The sequence below is a fragment of the Homo sapiens genome, chromosome 10 (genome assembly GCF_000001405.40).
Source record: "Homo sapiens chromosome 10, GRCh38.p14 Primary Assembly".
Classification (NCBI taxonomy): domain Eukaryota; kingdom Metazoa; phylum Chordata; class Mammalia; order Primates; family Hominidae; genus Homo; species Homo sapiens.
In genome coordinates this window covers 101,201,508-101,226,737 of record NC_000010.11, presented here as the reverse complement: position 1 = coordinate 101,226,737, position 25,230 = coordinate 101,201,508, and the positions used below count along the sequence as shown (strand labels likewise).

The 25,230-nt window shown below is 53.4% G+C and overlaps 1 long non-coding RNA gene across 1 annotated transcript, besides 7 other annotated features; it reads right to left on the bottom strand.

Moving 5' to 3' along the window:
• Positions 123-624: an enhancer, noted in NCBI's record as "H3K4me1 hESC enhancer chr10:102985871-102986372 (GRCh37/hg19 assembly coordinates)". NCBI's record gives its function as "activates a minimal SCP1, AML or CMV promoter by ChIP-STARR-seq in naive H9 embryonic stem cells {active_cell/tissue: H9 hESC(naive)}" and the evidence as "EXISTENCE:reporter gene assay evidence [ECO:0000049][PMID:30033119]".
• Positions 2,546-4,386, bottom strand: LOC124902491 (uncharacterized). Its single transcript, XR_007062267.1, has 2 exons — positions 4,254-4,386; positions 2,546-4,020 (listed from the first exon to the last, which is right to left on the bottom strand). It is a non-coding gene; the product is annotated as an uncharacterized LOC124902491 (long non-coding RNA).
• Positions 3,399-4,048: an enhancer, noted in NCBI's record as "H3K4me1 hESC enhancer chr10:102982447-102983096 (GRCh37/hg19 assembly coordinates)". NCBI's record gives its function as "activates a minimal SCP1, AML or CMV promoter by ChIP-STARR-seq in primed H9 embryonic stem cells {active_cell/tissue: H9 hESC(primed)}" and the evidence as "EXISTENCE:reporter gene assay evidence [ECO:0000049][PMID:30033119]".
• Positions 8,275-8,866: an enhancer, noted in NCBI's record as "H3K27ac-H3K4me1 hESC enhancer chr10:102977629-102978220 (GRCh37/hg19 assembly coordinates)". NCBI's record gives its function as "activates a minimal SCP1, AML or CMV promoter by ChIP-STARR-seq in naive H9 embryonic stem cells {active_cell/tissue: H9 hESC(naive)}" and the evidence as "EXISTENCE:reporter gene assay evidence [ECO:0000049][PMID:30033119]".
• Positions 9,459-10,050: an enhancer, noted in NCBI's record as "H3K27ac-H3K4me1 hESC enhancer chr10:102976445-102977036 (GRCh37/hg19 assembly coordinates)". NCBI's record gives its function as "activates a minimal SCP1, AML or CMV promoter by ChIP-STARR-seq in naive H9 embryonic stem cells {active_cell/tissue: H9 hESC(naive)}" and the evidence as "EXISTENCE:reporter gene assay evidence [ECO:0000049][PMID:30033119]".
• Positions 11,751-11,800: a silencer, noted in NCBI's record as "silent region_2719". NCBI's record gives its function as "represses an Ori minimal core promoter by ATAC-STARR-seq in GM12878 lymphoblastoid cells {active_cell/tissue: GM12878}" and the evidence as "EXISTENCE:reporter gene assay evidence [ECO:0000049][PMID:35858748]".
• Positions 11,901-11,950: an enhancer, noted in NCBI's record as "active region_3909". NCBI's record gives its function as "activates an Ori minimal core promoter by ATAC-STARR-seq in GM12878 lymphoblastoid cells {active_cell/tissue: GM12878}" and the evidence as "EXISTENCE:reporter gene assay evidence [ECO:0000049][PMID:35858748]".
• Positions 11,961-12,030: an enhancer, noted in NCBI's record as "active region_3908". NCBI's record gives its function as "activates an Ori minimal core promoter by ATAC-STARR-seq in GM12878 lymphoblastoid cells {active_cell/tissue: GM12878}" and the evidence as "EXISTENCE:reporter gene assay evidence [ECO:0000049][PMID:35858748]".

Genomic DNA, 25,230 nt, shown 5'->3' with positions numbered 1-25,230 from the left:
ATTTCCTCGGGCCTTTTTTCCTCATGTGGGAGGGGAAGAGGTGGGCAGTCAGGTCCTGACTTGCAAGTTTCAAAATCGATCTTTCCTCCCCACCCTCTGAGAGAAAAGTCTGTTTTCGATGCCATTTCTGCCTCCTAATGCCCACTAATGCTGTTTTTAAGATTCCTCCCTCCCTCCCGCATTTCCTCGGACTGACTGTTGGAGTCCGGCTCTTAGGGACAATGCAGGGGGAAATCCAACCAACCAACTATCGAAAACAGAACCCAAAGCCCTATAATTATTTTGTACTCTTTTTAGAATTTTTTTGCATGTGACAGAGACAGAGAGGAGGCCGACCCAAGCCCTCACCTCACCTCCTCCACAGCTCTGGGTCTCTCTTGCCACTTCGAACACCCCACTCCTACCCGACTTGGCCAGAGGAGGGTGGCTGGATGTGAGTGGGCTGCGAGTGCCCCTTCCCTGCTCCTCCCTTCCCCTCTCCTCCCTAGACTGTACCCAAGGCCTCTTTCTCCAATAAATAAAGTCTTTGCCATTTTACTAGAACCGGCGGCGACCGTGTCTGAGTGGTGGGCCCGTTTCCGAGAAGCAGCGGCAGGCTGGGCTTCTTGCCGCTCTTCGTGCCGGTCGCCCTAGCCTTGGAGATTTGGGGGGGATTTTCAGGACAGGCTTAAGAGTGAAGGGCGAGGGGGAAGCAGCAGGAGGAGGCGCCTCTTGCCCATAAACCTGAGGCAGCTGCTAAATCGGGAGAGAAGCGGGCTTCGCCAGGTCGGGGTAAAAAACGAGCCGTGAAATGCTGGGAGAAAATGCCTGTGTATGTGGGGGCACACCACAGTACAACATTAATTTGTGTTGAACAAAGGGTGGGAGGGGGTCTTGCCCTGCATTTCCTGCATCCCACCCCAGACCCAAGGGCATTCTCCCTGCACTCCCCGAAAACAGGGCTGAGCCCCGGGAGCGCTGCAGGTATCACTCAGTCAGACGCGGGGTGGAGCCTTGGGTTCCCAAGTTTCGATTCTAGCCCCGAGGGCCTCATCCTTGGGGAGTCGGGGGCCAAAGGCTAAAGGCATCAAGGCCAGGCTGAATTTCAATGTGGGCACCTGGAACTGTAAGCCCAAGCGTCTGGGAGCTGGTGTGAATTTCTGGCAACATTAACCAATTCTGCCTCCACACCCCGGCACACCGCTGGGGGCAGAGGTATGGATCTTGCAAGGACTCTCTCGGGTCTGCGGCGCCCCAAGGCCGGCTGGGGCGGGGGCTGAGGCCGCTTTCACTTTCCTGGACAGAGCGGGTTTCTCTCCGGGCTTTTGTTGTCGCTGGGCTGGCGAGTAGCCGCTGTCACCGGAGTGGGGTCCCGCCTCCGGGCCGCTGGGCTCTCTTTCTCCGCAAAATTGATGTGAGAAATGCGCATCTGGTCTCGGGCGGCGATGGGGCCCCCGGGCCCGAGCCAGGAACGTGCGTGTCCAGGAGGAAACGAAGAGACAGAGAGAAACAGGAAAAAAAAATAGGAGCACAGAAAGACACTCCAAAAGCAGAGAGAGAAAGCGGAGAGCCACAGAGACAGGACGGAGAAAAAGAGGAAAAAGAGAGAGAAACAGAGAAACGGAGAAAGGGAGACAGAGACAGAGGGAGAAAAAAAGAATGGGAAGAGAGGAGAAGAGAGAGAAGGAGCAGAGAAGGAAGGAGACGGCAGGGCAGCGGGGCAGGCGTGCGGCTGGTTCCTCCCGGGCGACAAAAATTGCCCTCTCTTAGGATGGATGGGTCTGTAATTCGGAGCGCGGACCATGAAGGCCGGGACGAATGGGCCTGGGCGGCCGCTGACAGGCGACAATAGCCGGGCCCAGCCCCCCGCGGCTCCCGGTGCGGGCACGGCCGCGGCCCTCCGCAGCCCAGAGCGCGCCGGCGCTGGCGACCATATGGTTTTTGAATTTTCTTCACAATTTGTAGACAATTTGATGGATTAGGTCCCCGCGCGCGCCTCCTCGGCACAAAGGCGGCGCAGGGACCACGGCGGGTCGGTCACCCGGGCATCTGCGCCCGCCGTGCGCACCCCCCCACTCGGCCCCCGCCCCGCGCCCGAAGCCCCAGGCCGCCCGCCCAACACGCTCATGAATCCCAATGAAGCGGCCCTGGCACCTCCGGCCGCTCTCTGCTTCGCGGCCCTGGGCCTGGCCCCGCTGGGTCCCTTTGGGCTGGGGGCGGCGGCCCCAGGGCTGAGCCCACCCGAGCTGCGGCGCCCGCGGGGCGCGCAGCTAAGCAGGCGCGTCGGGGCTGAGGAGAAACGGGGCCATTTATCCGCCCGTCTAGTTAAAGCGGGTTATTTGTTTGCTTCTCCGGCCTGCCCCCTCCCCTCCCTTCCCCCTCTCTCCTCCCCCGCCCTTCCCCTTCTGCCTTTTATTCTTTTGTCTCTAAATGGATTTAATGAGCCTGAAAAACATGACAATTGAATATAACCAAGAAATAAAAAATAACGAGGGAGGAAGGAAGGAGGAAAAGAAAGAATGAAAGAAGGAAGGGGAAGGATTAATAAAATAAGGAGAAAACGCAATTCAATTCAGCAAATGTTTATTGCGCGTCTTTTCTGCGCCAGGCCGCGCAGGGGGGCTGGGAAAATGGAAACGAATCAGATTCGGTTCCTGCCCTCAAGGAGCTCCTAGTCTAGTGGGCAAGACTCGCAGCACCCCCAGCGCTAGTAGAAGCGGACCGAGGGACAGGGCCGTGCCAGTTGCAAAACACTGAGAGGCAGCTACCAGGGTGTTGGCGGCTTCACAGAGGAGGTGGCTTGGGACCCGGGCCTTGAAAGGCGAAAAGTAGTTCGTTGTTTCCATAGGCCAGAGAAGAGAGCCAGTGGAAGGAAGGACCAGAGCTGCGGCGGGGGGAAGGGGTAACGAAGTGTACGTGAGAGCCTCGGCTGAACCCGAGCTAAGGAGGCCACGCGAGAGCGCCCTGCGCGCTCGGTCCCGCACAATGTGGGAAGTGGATTCGAGCCTCTCCGCAGTGTCCTCTGCTCTGAGGAATTCGCTGCCTCCATCAGGTTCCGGGTGGGCTTCCGGAGCCCAGCCGACAGCTCTGTTGAGGCCGCGGACTAGCACTGGACTCTGCCTGGACTAGCACCCGACTCTGCCTGGACTAGCACCCGGGCTTGGGGCTTATCTCTAGGTCCCATTGCGCAGGGAGGCGGCGAGGAAGTCAGCAGCTCTGGGCAAAAGCTGAGGGGCTTGGCTGTAGGCGGAGGCGAGGATCTGGGATCCAGGGAGGCCTGGGCTCTAAGCCCACTCTCTCTTTAGCTCCCCCAGTTCTGAAGAAGTCTGCTACCTGCGCGCGGCCCGGGGACCTCGGATGGTCTTGGCTGTGCCTCAGGCGCTGCCGCTGGGACCGGCGATGTGAGAGAGCCTCAAATCCCAAGTTCGGGCCCGAGGCCTCTTAGCTCACGCCTGCCGGGCCTGTCTCGGGATACTGCAAACAGCAGTGGTGTGTTCGCCCAAGTGTAGGCTCCAAGGGAGCGGGGCTTGTGTATTGCGTGTCTGTTTCTTCTCCTGGTCTGAGTGTACGAGGGAGCTTGGCCTGGGTTGTGTGAGGGGCTGTGGGCCCTACGCCCATTCTTCTGGCGTAGTTCGTTAAGGCTTGGTATCCTGTGGGCTGCCTGCCCTTCGGGCCTGAGTTCCATCACCTCCTAGAGCCCTTTGCCCATCTGTTCCCCCAGGACTCTGGGCTCTCTACGGACCCACTTTCGGTTCCGGGCTGGCCAGGAGAGGCGGCTCGGCTTTGTCTCTCCCTTCCCCGTTGTGTCCCGGGGCTCGACGGGGCTTGCCAAGTCCCGGGACGCGGGTAGTTTCTGCTCTCCAGTCTAGGAACCCCTCCGCGCGCGGACGGCCGATCCCGCTTGTTCGGCTTCCCCTCGCTCCGCCTTTCCCGGCTTGGTGGCCTGGCGAGCGGCGCGGGGTGAGGCAGAGAGGCGCAGTTCCCTATTTTACGAGGTGTCGGGCCGGTGTCAGACGCAGCTCCGATAAGTAATACTCCAGTCTGAGGGACCAGAACGTGGTAATTAATCCCAAAGACTTAAGTGTATTTTAGTTCAGGAGAAAAAAAATCACTAATTCAATCGTCCGGAAAATTGAAGTTTGATGCATGAGTCCCCCCTGAAAGGGACGAGCTGGGGCCGCGCGCCTACCCTCCGCCCCTTCCCGTCGCCGCGGGGACCCCCCCCCCCACCTCTCCATCCCTCTGAGCCGCCAAGTCCGGGGAAGTCCACTCACCCTGCCCTGGCTTTTCCAGTCACCTGAACCCGGAGGCACCTGGGCTTGGCTTCCCACCGGCAACAACTAGCCCCTCTTGGAGCGCAGAAAGTGATTTGTGGGGACAATACATATGCTCCCCAAACACATGCATCTGAGAGGGCACCACAGAAAGCCCGGGGATATAGAGAGGGCAGCCAGATAAGGGGGCAGGTTAGTAAGGTCAGGGGCTACAAAGCATGTGGAAGAAGGGACAGAGAATCTGAATGGGCTGGAGTCACAGGGGTCAGCGAGTAGGAGGCTGCTGTTGTAAAGTGAAGTACATGTGGCTTTGAAGTGGGTGGGAATGGAGGGGAGTAGAACTGGTTGTGCTGGGTAGTGGTGGTTAGGCTGTAGGTGTGCAAAGGGGTGTGTGGGAACTGGCTGCATCCCTGGACTGTACATGTGCGGAGTGGAGGTCCCTGGCAGACACTGACAGGTCTTGGAGAGCCTAGAATCTGACTCCCGGGTGTGTCCACAGGCCACATCTCCTAGAGAACAGGCTCCTGGGACTGGGGCAAAGGAAGGTGGGGGTTCCTGGGGACCAGCACCCTGGAGGGAGGAGCATTCCCACCTTGAGTGTTCCTGGGGCCCCACATCTGCACTTCCAAGTCCAGGACTGCCATCTGCAAATCACCCCGTCTTCTCCTAACAGCTGCCAGTTCTGGGAGAGATTTGGGGCTGTGGGTGTGTGTGTGGCAGGCTGCATGGGGACTAGCAAGGGCATGTTCCTGAGTGTGTCATCAAGTATGTGCAACTGAGAAACTGAGCATGTGCGGCTGATTGATGGAAACGGAGCGTGGGACTGGGTGTGTGATGCTGCGTTCCTGCAACTGATTGTTGCAAACTAGTGTGTGTGCAGCTAGGTGTGACTAAATTTGCTCAATGGAGAGGAAAAGAGTAAAGCTGTCACTGAGTGGGTGTAACCAGCAGGTAAACGATGCCCAGGGTGTGTGAGGTGTGCAGGGAGCTGGTGTGAGCAGATAGCTGGGAGAATGAATATTGATGTGGAATTGAAGCTACAGGCAGACAACCAGAATCCTAGCTCCAAACATTTTAGCCAAGCTGGCTACTGAAATTTACATTTACAATGCTGGGGGCAGGGACCACATGGCCTGACAGGAAGAGGACTCAGGAGAGGACTAAGTAGAAGATGGGATGGAGAACTTTCAGCCTGGGTTGAAGTTTATTCTGAGGGCAGCTGAGGCCGTCGAATAGGCACTATATAGGCATGGACTCTGCTTCTTTGAAAACAGGTTGCGGGGGTAGGGGCATCCTCTGTTGTGCAGTTGGGTGATGGCCAGGCTGCCCTGCCTGCCTTCTCCCATTCAAGCTGGTCACCGGGCTGAACCTTTGTCTTTGGAGTGACCTGTAGACCTGCCCTTGGCTGCTCCAGTTCCAGGTAGCGCTTGAAGGCCTAGCTTCCCCCAGCTCAGTCAAAGGAAGTTCCTCCTCCCCGTGGGGGCTCAGCCCTGCCCAAAGTGGGGAGGGTACAAATGGCAATATGCGCATGGCTGCAAGCAGAGTTGGGAGTGAATGAGTCCTGCCCACTTTGGAATCTGGTTTGTATGTGTGCAAGTGTGTGCAAGGATTGCTGTGCATTGGTGTGTGCATGTGGGCATGTTCACGCTTCCCCATGGAGAGCTGGATGTAGCTATTTGTCTGTGAATGGGGGTGGATGAAGTGGGGAAGGGAGCTTAGTTACCTGAGGGTATCCATGTAACCAATGGATCTGAGTGTGGACGTGACATCTGAGCACATGGGATGGAGGCATCCCTGAGTGTCTGTACCCCAACCCTTCCCAAATTCAGGGGCCCAAGGCTCTTCAGAAAGGGAGATCCAAGTTGGGAGCCTCCTCCAACAAGAAATGAGAGCCTTCTTCTCCCCTTTCTCACACACCTCTGCCAACCCAGAGCTGGGATACGGACCAAGGTAGGGAAGAGGTGACCCCTTCCATCTCCCAGAGGCTGTTCAAGGTGAAGTGTCTGGGTCTCTATAGGGACTGTCTCCTCTCTCCTGATGTCTATAATGGGGCCTATTGATCCATCTGCCTGAGGTCTCCCTGGGACTGCATGTCCACATGGAAATGAAGGGTAAGCCCAGACAGGCCCACAGGCCCACACCCAACACAGGCACACCTCAGAAACAAACCAAACACACACAAGGCAGGCACTCAGTTACACAGACCAACACTGCAGAAACCCGATACACACCCACAGTGACCCACAGACACACAGGATGCCTGGAAAACACAGTGCAGTCACATAAGACACAGCAAACCTGCCCAAATATGGGCAGCTAGTAGCATACATAAGAATTAAGCAGATAAACCTTGGCTGTTAAACATATACACCATCCCCACTTTATACATACAATACAGGCAAGTGACAGAGTCACAGCTCACAGTTGCCACAAGCACACAGGGCACCGGCTTCCAGACAGTTTATGCAAACATGGGAGTAGGGCAGGGGCTAGCTGGTTTAGGTGACTTCAGTGGAAATGCTGCTCGTGTTCTGATGTTCTGAGAAGAGTCCATTTGCAGAGAGGGCAGCCAGTAGCAGACAAGAGTTGGTGGGAAAGGGAGGCTTCCACTGTCTGGGGAACCTCCAAACTGGTGCCCCAGTGAAAAACCAAGTCCCCAACCACCCCGAAATGCAATCAAAGCCGCGGCCGCCCACCCGCCCTGCACAATGGCTCTGGCTGGAGTCGTTATCATTTTTGTTAACTTTTTATCGACTGTTTGCTAGATGGCGTGTCAGTAAAGTGTATGATTTGAGATGAAAAATTAGGCAGATTAACCTGAGGGGAGAGCCTGATTGATTACTAAATAGGATCAATTTGAAAGTTTTAGTCCTGGCGTTTCTGCAGAGCCTCTTAATACTTCAAACTTCAATTTTACGGGCGATTGAACTAAGCATGTTTCTGACAAAATTGATATATGTATTAATTTGCTTTAACTGGTGATTAATTACTCTCCACTGAAAGAATTATATGGAGCTGTTTGCCTGCGATTTGCATATTAATCAAATTCTAGTTGATAATTCCTCTGGTGTTGGAGGGCCGGGGCGGGGTGTGGGGTCCAAAGGTGTGAAGGAGTGTTTGCGCCTGTGCCGGTGTGTGCGCCCGTGTATGTGGGGGGGGGGGCTTCCCACCCCCCTTTTGCTCGCTCCCTGCTTAGCTGCCAGTTTAGTGCATTAAAACCAAAGATGCAGAACGAGTTTGCCCGGCTATTTGGCGGGAGCAGAAATTGCCTGTCCGGTTTTATGATCTGCTCAGCCTGAGCAGCCGGGTCCTTAATGTCCCCTGTCAAAGTGTCCGCGATTTAAAGGGAAAACGGCCCCCGCTTTAGCGCCGCGCGGGGCCTGACAAGGGACGAGGCAGGGACAAGCACCCCCTCAAATAACTCCCTCCCCTCCAGGACCATGGTTTCCCGGCGGCGTCCCAGCTCTGGGGACCCTGGAAACCGAGCCATGTCCTTGGAGTAGTCCAGCTCCTGGGATGCCCCAGCCATGGACCCCCACCCCGCCCCACAACATTCATCTACATGGGGATATATGCAGAGACCCAGAGATGTCACTGTCACTTGAGCTGACGGGCAGGAAGCCACCGTCTTAGACACCACAGACACAGTTACCCAGTCACATTGCTGTTCACTTAGACCCCTGCTCGGGCCTGTCTATAGACACACTCAGCTACCCATATGTACACCCAGACACAGAACTACACACAGGCAGGGAGCACACATAGACACCCAAGTCACGTCTACATGGCCTCTCAGCCGCACGTGGTCACACACACGCAGACACACGGAGGTCCATACACACACACCCAGGCATGGAGACACGTCGCAAAGGGATTCTTGGCCGGATATACACCAGACTCCTGCCCACACCCTCCCGGGAGCAAGCAGTCCCCATGCAGCCCCTCCTGGTCCCCTAGCCAGGCCGACCCTTTAAGCTCAAGGGGGCGGCGCCACCAAATCAACTTTTCCCATCTCTGGATTCAAAGGGTAGGAGTGTAATTAAAACCAGATAATTAATGAGACAATATTCCTCCAGCTACATCTTTAATGAACAAACCCCTTCAGGGCAGCCTCTTCTAGGCTCATTAAAGAGAAGAAAGTTGGGCGGATTGCGGACTTCCCAGCGCGTTAATAACGAACCCGTGGTGGGTGCTTCGGCCCGAAGAGCGGGAGCCACAGCGGCCCTCTCTGGCCCTGGTTCGTCCACCGCCACGTTGTCCCTTTGTCCGCCCCCACCACCACTCCTCACCCCCCAATCCCTTCAGTCGCGTGGCCTCATCGTCTCCAGCCGCCCCCCAGCGACCCTGAAAGTCTCTGTTCAGTGACCCCCGGCTCCGCCTGCGCTTTCTCTGGCGGCCTCTCACCGGTACCAGGCCAGCCATGCGCTCGGCTGCAGCCGGGTGTTGGGCCTCCCAGTTCCCCCGGCTGGGCGCTGAGTGCTCCAGGCCGTTTGGCTGGATGGAACTGGCTCTGTAGAAGGGAATTCGAGGCAAGGTAGGGGCCCGAGTCTCCCTCTGAAACTCAGTGCCCTAGGTGGGTGGCCTAGGACTGACGTTTGAGCGTCGTCCTGGGAACCGGTGGGCTGCAGGGAAGGGGAGGATGGTGATCAGCTCGTTTTCCACGCGCCCCTTCGCCCTCTCAGGAACGCGCACTAGCAACCATACTCCTGTGCACTCGCGCGCACGTGAGCGTGCACACACACAAGCGCCCACTCGGTGGTGCACACACATGCGTGGTCGCAATGCCTGGGGTCCAGACGGCGCGGCCCCAGCCTGGAGAGCCTAGTCTGGGCCTTCCCCAACCGCACGAGGTCGCTCTGGCGTCACTCGTCTCCAGGTCTCCAGGATGGAAGCCTTTTCGTTCCGTGTTCAGCGTCTGGGGCCTGGAGCGGACAATTCGGGCCGGAGAGACTGGGAGCGGGCAGCGCAGGAGGGGAGGGGGGCTCGGGCGGGCAGCGGCGGTAGCTGTGGCAGCGGCTCCGCCGGCGGCGCCTGCTTTCGCCTGCGCCGGCTTTTAGGGATGAGTTATGTGGCAATGAGCGAAGTAAATCTGCATGCGCAAAAGATGCTAATTACTCTTAATAGCCTACCCAGACGCCCCGAGACTGGAAACCCAGAAACGTAAATCTGCTCCCGATAAATATTTTTAATTGTGAAATTTCCTGGAAAGAAGGCTTTTGGTTCGCGGGCCCGAGGCATCTGGCTTTGGAAGGAGGAAAACGGCTCCCACCTGGGAAGCAGGGTCAGGAGTCAGGGTCCCGCTCGAGGGCGCCAGGCGCTGGCCGAGCGACCTGAGCCGGGCCGGCCTGCGCTGGGTAAAGTTAGTGATGTATCGCATTAATTACCAGTGTGAGCTGCAAATGGTTCGAGGCCCAAGGAAAATTAATGGGAATCCAAATTCTAATTATGTAGCTGTTGTTAAAGAGTTTAACTAGATAGTCACGGAGAAAATTGGATTATGCATAGAAATATGCAGCCAGCGCACGCGGGCCGGGCAGGCGGTCAGGGGACTCGTAGCCAGCACCCACCCCCCTTGCCTTAGAGGACGCTCCTCCTCTGCGAGGAAGGAAAAGACCCACCCCAGCGTATAAATAAAGATCCCGCGTGTCCCGATGGCAACGGCAGGGCGGGTCTCTGGCTGGCAGGAGAGGCCGAAGGTTTCAAAGGCGCGCGCTTGGATGCGGGGCTGGTGTGGAAGTCCGGGACTTCTGGGTCCCTTGGTCTGAGTAAGCGTTTGTGCCTGCCCGTTTCTCAGACTCTAGGTCGTTGCTCGGCTAATCCATCCTGCACTCCTTTTGATAATCATATAATTACATCTGAGCGCTGTGAGTTTACATTTTTTTCCACTCTCAGTTTAAGGAAATAGCCACCAAACGGAAGCCCAATTACACCGAAGCCTCGTCATTCACTTTATTAAGGACCCTGGATATGTTTCCATTTTCGCAGGAAATGAGGTCTGATCAAGCAGCACTAATACCTTGGGCCTCGGGGAGGGGGCGGGGACTCTCAGGGGCTGGCTAGATTCCGCGCGAGGCCGCGCCGCCCGCAGAGCCGAAACTGCCAAGCGGATGGCCCCACCTTGGGGCGGCAGATACCCAACTCTTCACGTCTCCCAATTCCTCCCAGGACCTCGGATTCGTTCTGTCGGGGCCACCCACTGGGCAGACCCACACCTTCCCACATCTCAGCGTGCTAGGCTCGGGGCTACCACACGCTGGCGCGGGTGGGGGGCGGATGGGAGGGCCAGGAGAGTTGAGGGGACTTTGCATTCCCAAAGAGAGACCCAGAGTCCTTTCAAGCTCCACCTACCCCCTTCCCAGGTGTTTGGCAACCTCCGAGGATGCTGCTAAGACCTCCGGAGCCGGGCAAGCAGGCCTGGAACGTCTGGGAGGCATCTTCCGGGGTCCCATGCCCCGCCTCCTTCAGTCTCTGATTCCAGTTTTCCATCGCCCCTTCAATGGGAACGTATCCTTTCCCCGCTGCCACCCTGTGCTTTTGAAGGAGAAGACGGTGGGTCCAGGTCTCACCAAGGAGCTCGGGTCCACCAGGCCTGACCCCGGCGCCGGCGGCTTTTGCCCCTCCTCGGATCTCGAGTTCCCAGACGGCGGCCAGGCAGGATCCATGCCTGCGCGGTGGCAGTGCAGCCACTTGGTCTCTCCAGGTTTTCCTTTCCCTCCACACAGGCCCCCGACTGAATTCAGGGGGTGAGGAGTGGCAGGGATGGTGCCTTTAGGCCAAGCCTCGGGAGAGGGGGATGAGCTGGAGGCAGGACCCCACAAATTTGAGGCATCAGAGTCTCTAATTTGCAAGCGCCGTGGAAGCCAGTCGAGGCCCTATGGATCGGTCCAAGAAAGGCCCCAGGCAGAGAATGGCCCGCGGCGCGGAGGTGTCCGCGAGAAACTAATTCCGATCTGGATAACGGGTCTGAATTAGACACGTTTACAGCCCCATTCCCCTTTCCTCCTGGGCGCTGGGGGGCAGTTCCTCGAAACTTGGGGGCAGATTCCCCAGGAGCAGCTGCTGTGGGTGTCCGAAGGAAGAGCGAGGAAGGGAGCCCCGGGACGCGGGAGTCTACACCCTCTGCCCTCCCAGTCGCAAGCTCAGAGCAGCTGCTCATACACAGACCCGCGTATCCTGGGAGAAAAACAGATGAGCGTGCCCTTGTATGTTTGACTCCTGGGCCAAATGTGGCCTCTAAGACCCCGAATTCTTCTCCTAGCAGCCTCAGAACGGAATCCATAAATTCAGAGAGGCAGGTGTGCCGACGACAGTCTCCCACCCCTCCAGGTCCTGGGGAAGGCCGGGGGATGCCTCCTCTCTCCCTCGCAGCGCCTGCCACGCTTTTGCCCCCCTCTTCACCTCGCCCCTTTTAAGCCTCCGGAGAACGATGGCTGCCCAATGGCCCCATGTACCCAGGCCATCCCGCTGTTTCAGGGAGGATCCTAGGGTCCAGGCTCTTTCTTCCTGCAGCCCTCTCGGGTCTCCAAGCCCGCCCCCTCTTGAGCACAGGTGTTCGAAAGGCCCCGCTTCTCTGTGACGCGGGCTTCGAGCGCCACCTAGCGGTACTTGACGCTCAGCAGCAGTGCCCGCCCTTAAGCCACCCCTTTCCCCACCCATCCGGAGCCCGGATAGCCATCCTGACGCGGTCCCACTCCCAAACTACAAGCTCCTGAGTGAACACGCTTCACCCCCACTTTATTATTATTATTATTATTACTATTATTGAGACTGTATCGCCCAGACTGGAGTGCAATGGCGCTATTTCGGCTCACTGCAGTCTCCACCTCCCAGGCTCAAGCGATCCTCCCATCTCAGCCTCCTGAGTAGCTGGTACTACTCAGACGCGCACCACTACGCTTGGCTATTTTTTTTTAACTTTTAGTATAGACGAGGTCTCACTATATAGCTCAGGCTGGTCTTGAACTCCTGGGCTCAAGCGATCCTCCCACCTCGGCCTCCCAAAATGCTGGGATTACGGGCGTGAGCCACCGTGCCCGGACTTCTTTTTAAAAATAGAGACAGGGGTCTCTGTCTGTCACTCTGACTCAGGCTGGAGTCCAGTGACATGATCATAACTCACGGCCTCCCAAAGCTGCCGCATTACAGGTGTGAGCTACCGCGCCCGACCTCTCACCCTCACTTCTTGGAACGGAGCCTTTAGTAGAGGGCCGCAAGGAATTGCAGGGGTGTGGCTAGGGGACTCTCACTTGGACCCGGCAGATGTGCGGGACACTGTTTCAGGGTTTGGGTTTGGCGTGGGGTTGAGGAAGGGACCACCCCATGTCTCTGCTGGCGGGGAGCAAAAAAAAAAAGGGGGGGTTCTCTGGCCGTGTGCGGTGGCTCACGCCTGTAATCCCAGGAGGCAGAGGTTGCAGTGAGCCGAGATCGCGCCACACTGCATTCCAGCCTGGCGGCAGAGTGACACTCCGTCTCAAAAAAAAAAGGGGGGGGGGTCTACTTATGAGCCCCTCTCATCCCTATTCCTACCCGAGCCCGGCCCCCAGCTCAATCCCCGGTACACTGCGGGCAAAGATCAGAACACTGCGGAAAAAAATCAGAACTTTCTCGGCTCGCAAAGTTCCGGTCCTCGCACCCTCCGCGGCATGGGAAAGGTTAGGTAGGAGCGCCCTCTGCCGTCTGTTATTTGGCACTGCGGCGGGCTGCGGGGCTGGAGGCAGCGAAATTCCTCTAACTGGCTCGCGGTCATCTCAGCTACCCTCCTGCCTATAGGGAGGAAGTCCCTTTCCCAAAGGCGCACAAGGGTTCCTCCGATCTTCATGGGATTGCACAGGGAAGGGAGACTCAGTGTTGCTGAGTTCCACCCGCACTGTGAGTTCTGTGCTAATCTTACCTCTTTCCCTCCTGCTGTGGGGTCAGCTTCCTCCCAGCTGATAGGATACCTGGGAGGTTAGAAATTTCTTCCCCTGCACCACAGTATATACATCATATTTCACAGCATAAATATATACAATGTTTACTTGTCACTTAAAAGTAACAATGCAGAAATTGCCGGTCGCGGTGGCTTATGCTTGTAATCCCAGCACTTTGGGAGGCCGAGGAGGGTGGATCACCTGAGGTCAGGAGTTCGAGACCAGCCTGGCCAAAATGGTGAAACCCTGTCTCTACTAAAAATACAAAAATTAGCCGGACGTGGTGGTGGGCGCCTGTAATTCCAGCTCCTCGGGAGGCTGAGGCAGGAGAATCACTTGAATCAGGAAGGCAGAGGTTGCAGTGAGCTGAGATCATGCCATTGCACTCCAGCCTGCGTGACAAGAGCAAAACTCCGTCTCAAAAAAATAAATACATAGGCCAGGCACAGTGGCTCATGCTTGTAATCCCAGCACTTTGAGAGGCTGAGACCGGCAGATCACCTGAGGTCAGGAGTTCGAGACCAGCCTGGCTAACAAGGAGAAATTGCCTCTACTAAAAATACGAAAATTAGCTGGGTGTGGTGGCGCATGCCTGTAGTCCCAGCTCCTCTGGAGGCTGAGGCAGGAAGATCACTCAAATCTGGGAGGCAAAGGTTGCAGTGAGCCGAGATCACGCCACTGCACTCCAGCCTGGGTGACGGCGTAAGATGCTGTCTCTAAATAAATAAATAAATAAATAAATGTAACAATGCATAAATAAAAATAAATTTCTTTCTCTACAGTGTGATCATCAGGCCTGACGGACGGGCCACGTTCCCCAGCTAGCACACTGCAGATGGAAAGGTCAGGGGAAGAGTGAGTGCCAACCCAGGCTCAGTCCATGGGTCTTGCGCGAATTGTTCAGAGTAGATAAAAAGTGGTAAGAGGTGGCGACAGCCCTGCCTGGCACTTCTAGAAGGGCCAGAGATCCCTGAGCTTCTGGTGACATCCTGGCAGAAAACCTAATAGGTAGTGAGTGCAGCAGGAAGTTCTATGCCCCATGAGGGCCCTCACATGCCTGACATACACATGTACTGACTCTGTGGTGCACCAAACACTCCCTTACACAGGCTCAGGCTGCCACCATGTCTTGACACTGAACTCCTGACCCTGCAGAGCCACACTCACCCAAGACCCACTCCTGAGACCTGCTCCCACCCAACTGCAGGACCTTCTCCAGCCCTGAACGTTTAGGAGAAGCAAGGATCAGAGTGGGAAGAACCCCTGGGCAGGTGTGGGAGGAGGCAGTCTGTTAAGGTCGCTTTAGGTCTTTGTCCTCGATTTTGAGACTGTCCTTAGAGAAAGGGGAGTACTGTGTCTTACTGTGTGACAGGAGGGGTACTGGGCTTCAAAAGTCCCTTGCGACCTGAGATCTGGTGACAGCCTTTCATTCGAGGCAATGCTCTGTGATTGTTTATAAGTCTCCCAGAACTCTGTCCCCAATCCCCTCTTGCCCACCTGCCATGTCCAGAGAGCGGGAATCCCCCCTAGACACAGATTAGCCACAAGTATTGGGAATTTCCACTTACTGTAAGTAGCAGGAAAATGAGAATCCTGAGCCCCAAGCCTTAGGTGGGGAAAGAGGTGAAGGAGATCCTCTGTCCCCCTTCCATCTGTTTCCATCCTTTTTCTCTTGGGGTCTTAAGTAGTTTTCCCTGGCAGAGTGTCCTCCCAGAATGGACATCTTGGGGTCCCTGGAGTCACTGCACTAGAGCCAGGATACCTCGTGTCCCTCTTCCCTTCCCCCAGGATGGGAGGGCAGCAAGGGAGAGCTGTTGATGGGCCCGGCTGGCTAGTCTGAGCTTGAAAACACAGATTTCAGGTCCTCACTTCATAGCCACTGAAATAGAATCAGTGGGGCCTGAGAATCTTCCCTTTATGAAGCAGCCTACTCCTTCTTTCTCCTTCTTTCCCTTTCCCAGACTCTTCTGGGAGAACTGCAGAATCTCTCCCCTTCCCATCTACTCCTCCCCAGCGTGACTTCCAAATGAGGAAATCCACCTGATATGTGGGATCAGATATCCTGGGCTTAAGTCTGTAACTTCCTAGCTGTGGGACTTTGGCAAGTCACTTCATCTCTCGAAGCCTCAGTTTCATCATCTGTGAGTTGACCATAATATTCCCTGTCTCAGGGGGGTGCACTCAGGGTCAGATGAGCTAATGTCTTCACAGGGTGCTTTGCAAAAGGCACATTTTAGTCCAAATGCTGGTGACTATTCAAGAATTTCAGTGCCAGATGTAGAGGTGTTGGTAAGCCCAGGGAAACCTTCTCCTGGCCTGAGCAGTGAGCTCTGGAGACAGAAGGGGGAATGATCCCGAGATTGGAGTCCAGGCAGGGCAGTCCCCTCCCTCAGAGAGCTCATCCTTGTGGGCATGTGAGGGTCTCTTATTTGCAGCTCCCCAGGGCTCCACACTGAGTGGGCTTTTCTTCCCAGCTCACCTTTCCCACCAAAGATATGTAACTGATCTCTGTGGGGGGAAGAAAGAAGGAAAATACCCATGCCAATTACCTTCTTCAAAAAGAAATTGGGGCCAGGCACAGTAGCTTATGCCTGTAATCCCAGCACTTTGGGAGGCTGAGGCGGGTGGATCACCTGAGGTCAGGCGTTCGAGACCAGCCTGGCCAACATGGTGAAACCCCGTCTCAACTAAAAATACAAAAATTAGCCGGGCATGGTGGTGGGCACCTGTAATCCCAGCTACTCGGGAGGCTGAAGCAGGAGAATTGCTTGAACTTGGGAGACGGAGGTTGCAGTGAGCTGAGATTGTGCTACTGCACTCCAGCCTGGGTGACAAGAGGGAAACTCTGTCTCAAAAAAAAAAAAATTGGGCTTACTTAATATCAGTTTCAGTCACTGAGAAACTCACATCAAGTTCTGGGGAACGTGTTAAAAATACACAGGCTGAGCTGTAGTACATTTCTGTCATGGTCTCCAGCTATTGGGATTTCTTTGTCCCTGGGGGTGAGACCTACTGCCTTGGAATACCTAGCGTTACTGATCATAAGCAGACAGTGAGGCCTCCCAGAATAGCCCTCCCAGAGATGCCCCCTCCACATCCCTGGTTTTCTTCCAAAGATGGGGCAGGGAGCAGTGAGCTGGGCAGACTATGGGGACAATAAGCTAGAGTGACATGGACTTAGAATGACAGGAGATAGGTCTAATAGAAAGAGCAGGGCTTTGAACTGTGGGGCAGGGGAGCAAAGCACGGGTCTCACTCCTTCTAGCTGTTCCTCAGCCTCGCTAAGCCAGTTTCCTCATCTGTAAAGGCGGGTGATACTAAGACCGGTTCCATCTCCCACGGTGGTTATGAGCAGCCACTACTTCCACAGACAGAGCTGCATTTTTGCAAACATATAGATGTGTGCATATATGTGTAGAAATAAGAACAGAGCATGTGTCCTATTCTGAAATTCACTTTTTTCACTTAATAACATTTCTTGGTTACTTTACCAGGCCCTTTTTCCATGGCGATAGCTTGTAAACCGCAAAACTATTGAAATGTTAGTTAATTTAAAGAACTCAGAGAAAACACTACCCTTTGGAGACGAAGGGCTGTTTTCTCATTGGGGTGTAGTGTGTGTGTACCCATGTCTTTGTGTTGCTAGGTTGGAGGAAAGGGAGGGCTTGTGAGTGTGCATGGTACTTCAGCAGCTGGAGACCCAAGTGGGATGAAGACTTTTCTGATTTTTAGGAATATAGAGTCTGGAGTGAAAACAAATTGAACCAATTAGGAAACTTCATCCCCTAGGGAGCCCTCTCAGAAGCCTCCCAGGAGCCTGCCTGCTTGGTTACTGGCCCTAGGGGGAGTGTGGAGAGGGGGAGACCTATGTTTGCCTCTGGGGTGACACAGAGGGTATGTTAAGGTATATTTAAGCTGCTGTGACAAAGAGGTCCCCCAATACATAGACTAACAGGGATAGGTGTCTATTCTTTTTCACATAACAGTTCAGTGTATAGATCTCTGTTCTATATGTTGTCATCACTAAAAGCATGGACTCTGGAACCTGGTTGCCTGGAATCAAATCTTGCCCTTGGTGACCTTATAGCAATTACTCAACCTGTGTCTCAGGTTCCTTACCTGTAAACTTGGTTGGACTTCATAGGATTATTGTGAGGATTAAGTGAGTTAGGACCCTCCAAAATTATTTATTGAGCACCTACTACAGTCAGTCATAGTCAGTCATTGTTTGGGGCTCATGGTAACTCCCACTGGTGGGCTCAAAGTGGCTGCTCTAGCTTCTGCCATCATGTCTGCCTCCCACTCAGTGGGAAGAAGGAAAGGGCAAAGGGAGCACACACCCATTCCTTTAAGGTCATAACCCAGAAGTGGCATACATCTGACCTCGTCCTAACCATCAATCAGAATTTGGTTGTATTGACTCAATAAGCTGCAAGGGAGGCTGGGGAGTGTAAACTTTAGTCATGTGATCATGTGCCCAACCAAAACTCAGGCATACTAACAAAACAAGGAAGGAATGGATACTGGTGGGAAATTAGCAGTTTCTTCTCTCTTCCCCGGGGCAGCTGCATCATTCTCATATACAATTGTTATGAGCCAAAGGGGGCTGTCTGCTCAATGTGCCAGGTTTTGAGAAAAGAAAGGCTTTTATTGCAAGTTGACTCACAAGCAGACATGAGTGTGAAGCTCAAATCTGTCTCCTCGTCTTGGCTTCAAAGCAGTATTTTTATTAGAAAAGGTTCAGGGGGTGGATTCTGAGATGAGCAGATCATTGGTGAAAGGAAAGGGGAGATCTGGAAAGTCCCTGGGCATGCGCAGTTATCTCTTCCTGGGATCTCATGGGTCGCATGTGCAAATTCAAGGGGAGTTAGTATGAAACATGCAGTGGAAATTCAGTCGGTGCCATCAGCAAGTTCATCCTGCGCAGACTCCAGTTGTCCATGTTGGTTCCAACCAGTGTTAGCCAGTTCTTTTGATCTCATAAGCAGAGGGAGTTTCAGTTGTTTCTTTTCCTTTTTTTTTTTTTTTTTTGAGATGGAGTTTCTCTCTTGTTGCCCAGGCTGGAGTGCAATGGCGTGATCTCAGCTCACTGCAATCTCTGCCGGGTTCAAGTGATTCTCCTGCCTCAGCCTCCTGAGTAGCTGGGATTACAGGCGTGTGCCACCATGCCTGACTAATTTTTGTATTTTTAGTAGAGACGGGGTTTCACCATGTTGGCCAGGCTGGTCTTGAACTCCTGACCTCAGGTGATCCACCCACCTCAGCCTCCTAAGGTGCTAGGATTACAGGCATGGCGTGAGCCACCACGCCCGGCCGGTAGTTGTTTCTTTTTTTAACCTCCATTCTGCAAACTCAAGAATTTCTGTTAGCCAGGCGCGGTGGCTCATGCCTATAATCCCAGCACTTTGGGAGGCCGAGGCGGGTGGATCACCTGAGGTCAGGAGTTCGAGACCAGCCTGACCAACAAAGGAAAACCCTGTGTCTACTAAAAATACAAAAAAAATTAGCCGGGCGTGGTGGCACACACCTGTAGTCCTAGCTACTTGGGAGGCTGAGACAGGAGAACTGCTTGAACCCAGGAGGAGGAGGTTGCGGTGAGCCAAGATTGCACCACTGCACTCCAGCCTGGGCGACAGAGAGAGACTCCGTCTCAAAAAAAAAAAAAAAAAAAGAATTTCTGTCATTGGCTTCCTTAACTCTTTGGGGCATGGTTTTACAGCTCCTGAGGACAGGGACAGAGGGAGGAGTGGCAGAGACTATGAGGAAAAAAGCAATAAAGGTCTCATTTAAGAAGGAGGGGCCTGAGACAGGGACAAGGAGCTGGGAGAGGAAAAACCAAGACCAGGGCTGCCAGCTTGTGCCAAGGATCTGCGGTCAGGGAGAGGTCCTGGGTGCAATGGACCATTTTTATGCCTTTGGATCTTCTTGGGTTTTTGTTTTTTTTATAAATAAAGATGGGGTCTCACTATGTTGCCCAGGCTGGTCTTGAACTCCTGGCCTCAAGTGATCCTCCTGCCTCAGCCTCCAAGTAGCTAGGACTATAGCACTCCCACAGTGCTGAGACCACAGGTGGGAACCACAGCACCCGGCCAGGATCTTCTTATTTCCTTCTGCTTCTTCTGAGATCCCAGTGAAGGTAGGTGGACTTCTGTGCTGAGACAAAATGTGCATTATTTTTTTGTCCTGGCCTGAGCTCAATAGGATGAAGGCTCAGAATAACCCTGTAGGGCACTCAGGAAGTCCCAGGCAGTGACAGTGGACCAAGGCTGCTCTGCCTCGGCTGCAATAGCTGAGATTCCTGAGGCTCCCAGAGAAGCAGCTGAAAAGGATGCCCTGGCTGGGGGAGCCTGCATGCAGGCAGATGGAGGGTGGTGCACAGAGTGCATTCCGAGTGGCCTCTGATGGAGCTCAGGACTGTGGGCACAGGGGCAGTGTTGCTGACACTGAGAACTGGGAACATCAGCCCCACCCACCATCTTCCCCTGCTGTCTGCTTGTGTTTTCCTTGTATCTTTAAGCTTACAGGAGCCTCTAGACCTGGCATGCTCAAGCCAGTGTCCAGAGTCCTCTGCAATTGGGAGCAGAGTTGTGTGACTATATGCTTAAGTGTGTTTTCTTTTTTCTTTTTTTTTTCTTGAGACGGAGTCTCGCTCTGTCACCCAGGCTGGGGTGCAGTGGCGCGATCTCGGCTCACTGCAAGCTCCGCCTTCTGGGTTCACGCCATTCTCTTGCCTCAGCCTCCCGAGTAGCTGGGACTACAGGTGCCCACCACCATGCCTGGCTAATTTTTTGTATTTTTAGTAGAGACGGGGTTTCACCGTGTTAGTCAGGATGGTCTCGATCTCCTGACCTCGTGATCCACCTGCCTTGGCCTCCCAAAGTGCTGGGATTACAGGCGTGAGCCACTGCGCCCGAACTTTTTTTTTTTTTTGAAACAGAGTCTTGCTCTGTAGCTCAGGCTGGAGTGCAGTGGCACGATCTCGGGGTCATTGCAAATTCCACCTCCCGGGTTCAAGCAATTCTCCTGCCTCAGCCTCCAGGGAACTGGGATTACAGATGTGTGCCACCAAGCCTGGCTAATTTTTATATTTTTAGTAGAGACAGGGTTTCTCCATGTTGGCCAGGCTGGTCTTGAACTCCTGACCTCGGGTGATCTGCCTGCCTCAGCCTCCCAAGGTGCAGGGATTACAGGCGTGAGCCACTGCACCTGGGCTTAAGTGTGTTTTTCTGCGTGGTGGTGGCATAGCTTTTATCAGACTCCTAATGTATCTATGACCCAACAGAGGTCAACAGCATAGACTTCCTTCTCTTTTCCTCACATCTGCTGTGAAGAAACCACCTTAATTTGATTTTTAAGCTCCTACAACTGTGCTTATAGCCAGGCGTGGTGGCTCATGCCTGTAATCCCAACATTTTGGGAAGTCAAGGTGGGAGGATCTCTTGAGGCTCAAAGTTTGATACCAGCCTGGAGAACATCGTGAGACCTTATCTTTACAAAAATAAAAAAATAGCCAGGCATGATGGTGCATGGTCTGTGGTTCCAGCTACTTGGGAGGCTGAGGCAGGAGGATCACTTGAGCCCAGGAGTTTGGGGCTGCAGTGAGCTATGGTTGTGCCACTGCACTCCAGCCTGGGTGACAGAGTGAGACCCTGCTTCTCAAAAATAAATAATAATAAATAAATAATTTAAAAAGCAAAATACAATCCTCATAAAGCATTTGAAACTATTTTGGCAGGTGCCTCAGTCATTTCAACAAGCAGTTGCACAGAGTGCAGAGCCCCTTGCCTCTGATTCCCTCCTTCAGTCCCCAGAACAACCTGGAGATGTAGGTACTGGGAGTTCCGATGCCCATTGTACAGACGGAGGCAAGAGACTGGGGTGCGGGGTGAGGCACCTGCCTGAGTGCAGGTCTGTGGACTTCTGTGTGGAGACAAAATGTGCATTATTTTTTTTGTCCTGGTCTGAGCCCAAGAGGATGAAGATGGAGAGTAACACTGTAGGGCCCTCAGGGAGTCCCAGGTGGCGAGAGCAGACCAAGGCTCGGCGTGGACCTAGGTTTACCTGAGGCTGATCGCAGATGACAGTTGGCAGTGGGAGACCAGAATCGAGCCTGTTCTCTGAGGCTGTGGAGCCTGTGCTCTGCTCTCCTTCGGGCCGCTCGCCGGGAGCTGGGCAAGGTAGGGCATGTGCGACTTCAGGGTGGCAGCCTTTCCTTTCAGCATCTCTTCCCCTACCCCCAGGGGAGTGGTGACATCCAACTCCCCAGTTTTTTGCAACTCAGAGTGTGGTCCTGGGACCGGCAGTATCAGCAGCCCCTGGGAGCCAGTTAGAAAAAGTGGAATTGCGGCCTGGCGCGGTGGCTCATGCCTGTAATCCCAGGACTTTGGGAGGCCAAGGCAGGCAGATCATGAGGTCAGGAGTTTGAGACCAGCCTGACCAACATGGTGAAACCCTATCTCTACTAAAAATACAAAAATTAGCCGGGCGTGGTGGCGCACACCTGTAATCCCAGCTACTCATAAGGATGAGGCAGGAGAATCACTTAAACCCGGGAGACGAAAGTTGCAGTGAGCCTAGATTGTCCTACTTCACTCCAACCTGGGCGACAGACAGAGCGAGACTCTGTCTCAAAAAATAAAAAAAGAAAAGAAAAGTGGAATTGCTGGGCCCACCTAGGCCTGTTGAGTCAGTATCCACATGTTAATGAGATTTTCCTGAGAGCTTCTTGCCTGCATTGAAGTTGGAGAAGTTCGGCGCTAGACCTCTCCTCTATCCACAGGTATGAGTCTCATTCATAGGAAGACACTTCCTCAGGGATGCGGGGGGCAGGGATGCCTGTTTTGTTCAAGACCTGCAGCTTTGAGCAGGGCTCAGTGGTTCCCCAGGCCTGTAATCACAGCTACTTGGGAGGCTGAGGCAGGAGGATGGCTTCAGCCAGGAGTTGGAAACCAGCCTGAGCAACACAGCAAGACCCTATCTCTAAAAAAAGAAAAAGACGGCCAGGCGCGGTGGCTCACACCTGTAATCCCAACACTTTGGGAGGCTGAGGTGGGTGGATCACCTGAGGTCAAGAGTTCAAGACCAGCCTGGCCAACATGGTGAAAATCCAAAATACAAAAAATTAGTTGGGCGTGGTGGCAGGCATCTGTAATCCCAGCTACTCAGGAGGCTGAGGCAGGAGAATCGCTTGAAACTGGGAGGCGGAGGTTGCAGGGAGCCGAGATCGCACCATTGTGCTCCAGCCTGGGCAACAAGAGGGAAACTCCATCTCAAAAAAAAAAATAAAATAAAATAAAGAAAGAAAAAGAAAAGAAAAAGGAAAAGCTCCGCTGGGGCTTCTGCCTTCCCAACTTTCCTTCCCCTTCCAAACCAAAGCCAGATCCTCCTGCCCTCCCCCATGCCCCTGCCTTACCTTTTCATTTTCTTTTATTTTTTTACCTTTTTATTTAATTTTTTTTTTGAGACAAGGTCTTGCTCTGTCGCCCAGGCTGGAATGCAGTGGCGCCATCTCACTGCAACCTCCTCCTCCTGGGTTCAAGCGATTCTCCTGCCTCAGCCTCCCAAGTAGCTGAGACCACCACGCCCAGCTAATTTTTGTATTTTTAGTAGAGACGGGGTTTTGCCATGTTGGCCAGGCTGGTCTCAAACTCCTGAGCTCAAGTGATCCACCCGCCTTGCCTCCCAAAGTGTTGGGATTACAGGTGTGAGCCACTGCACCTGACCTCCCTTTTTATTTTAAGTAACCCTTTTCTTTTAGAATAGTTTAAAGCTTATAGCAAAGTTGCAGATAGTACAGAGAGCTGTCATGTACCCTCACTCAGGAGCCTCTGTTGTTAACATCGACGTCACCATGGTACATTTGTCACAACAAGCAAACAACATCAGTACATTGCTACTAACTAAACTTGCCACTTTATTTAATCAGATTTCACTAACATCCTTTCTCTAAAGGATGTTTTTCCACTAACATCCCTTTTCTGTTTCAGGATTCTATCCAGGATGCCACATTACATTTGGTCATCACATCGTCTTAGTCTGTGTCTGTGACAGTTTCTCAGGCTTTCCCTGTTTTTTATTCCCTTAACAGTTTAGAGGAGTACAGGTCAGGAATTCTGTAGAACGTCCCTCAATCTGGATTTTTCTGTGGTTTTCTCATGGTTATGTTACCCGAAAGGGGTCCCTACCCAGACCCCAAGAGAGGGTTTTTGGATCTTGCACAAGAAAGAATTTGAGGTGAATCCAGAAAGTGAAAGCAAGTTTATTAGGAAAGTAAAAGAATAAGAGAATGGTTACTCCATAGGCAGAGCAGCCCTGAGGGCTTCTGGTTTTTTTGTTTTATTTTTGAGACGAGTCTCGCTCTGTCGCCCAGGCTGGAGTGCAGTGGTGCGATCTTGGCTCACTGAAAACTCCATCTCTCGGGTTCAGCCATTCTCCTGCCTCAGCCTCCAGAGTAGCTGGGACTACAGGCGCCTGCCACCACGCCTGGCTATTTTTTTTGTATTTTTTTAGTAGAGATGGTGTTTCACCGTGTTAGCCAGGATGGGGGCTTCTGTTTTTTACGGTTATTTCTTGATTATATGCTAAACAAGTGGTGGATTATTCATGAGTCTTCCTGGAAAGGGATGGGCAATTCCTGGACCTGAGGGTTCCTCTCCTTTTTAGACCATATAGGGTAACTTCCAGACATTGCCATGGCATTTGTAAACTGTCATGGTGCTGGTGGGAGTGTCTTTTAGGATGCTAATGCATTATAATTAGCATGTAATGAGCAGTGAGGACAACTGGAGGTCACTCAGGATGATTCAGGAAATTGTATTTTACTCGAGTTGAAGGAGAACATTAGTGTTAGATTAGAGCGATGGGGAACCAGGTGTGGCAGCTCACACCTGCAATCCCAGCAGTTTGTGAGGCAGAGGTGGGAGGATGACTTGAGCCCAAGAGCTGGAGACCAGACTGGGCAACATGGTGAGACCTCTTCTCTACAAAAAATAAAAAATTAGCTTGGCATGATGGCACACACACACCTGTAGTCCCAGCTACCTGGGAGGCTGAGGTGGGAGGATGATTAGAGCCCAGGAAGTCAAGGCTGCAGTGAGCTGTGATGGTGCCACTGCACTCCAGCCTGGGCAACAAAGTGACATTCTGTCTCAAAAAAAAAAAAAAAAAAGTGCTGGGGAAGGGAACAGGGCTGTGCTGAATGTGTGAGGAGACACTACTCAGGTATGAAGAAGGCTTACTGTTTGTATTTTTTTTGTATTCATTTTAAATTCTGAATTATCCCTTTGTGTTAGTCTGTTCTTGTATTGATATAAAGAAATATCTGAGGCTGGGTAACTTATGAAGAAAAGACATTTAATTGTTCATGGTTCTGCAGGCTGTGCAAGAAGCATGGCACCAATATCTGCTCAGCTTCTGGTGAGGCCTCAGGAAGCTTCTAATCACGGCAGAAGGAGAATAGGAGGCTGGCCTATCACATGGTGAGAAAGTCAGTGGGGGACGGAGTGGGTGCCACACACACCCCTTTTTTTTTCTGAGACAGGGCTGTCCCCAGGCTGGAGTACAGTGGCACAGTCATACCTCACTGCAGTCTCCACCTTCCAGACTCAAGTGATCCTCCCCCATCAGCCTCCTGAGTAGCTGGGACCACAGGCTAACACCACCATGACCAGTAATTTTTTCATTTTTTACAGAGACGGAGTCTTGCCATGTTGCCCAGGCTGGTCTCAAACTCCTAGGCTCAAGTCATCCTCCTGCCTTGGCCTCCCAAAGTGCTGGGATTAAAAATGTGAGCCACTGTGCCTGGCCACCATACCCTTTTCAACAACCAGATCTCACGTGAACTCAGAGTGAGAACTCACTCATTATTGTGAGGACAGCACCAAGCTATTCATGAAGGATCCGCCCCCATGACCCAAACACCTCTCACCAGGCCCCACCTCCAACACTGGGGATTACATTTACTTACTTACTTTTATTCATTTACTTTTTGAGATGGAGTCTAGCTCTGTTGCGCAGGCTAAAGTGCAGTGGCACAATCTTGGCTCACTGCAACCTCTGCCTCCCGGGCT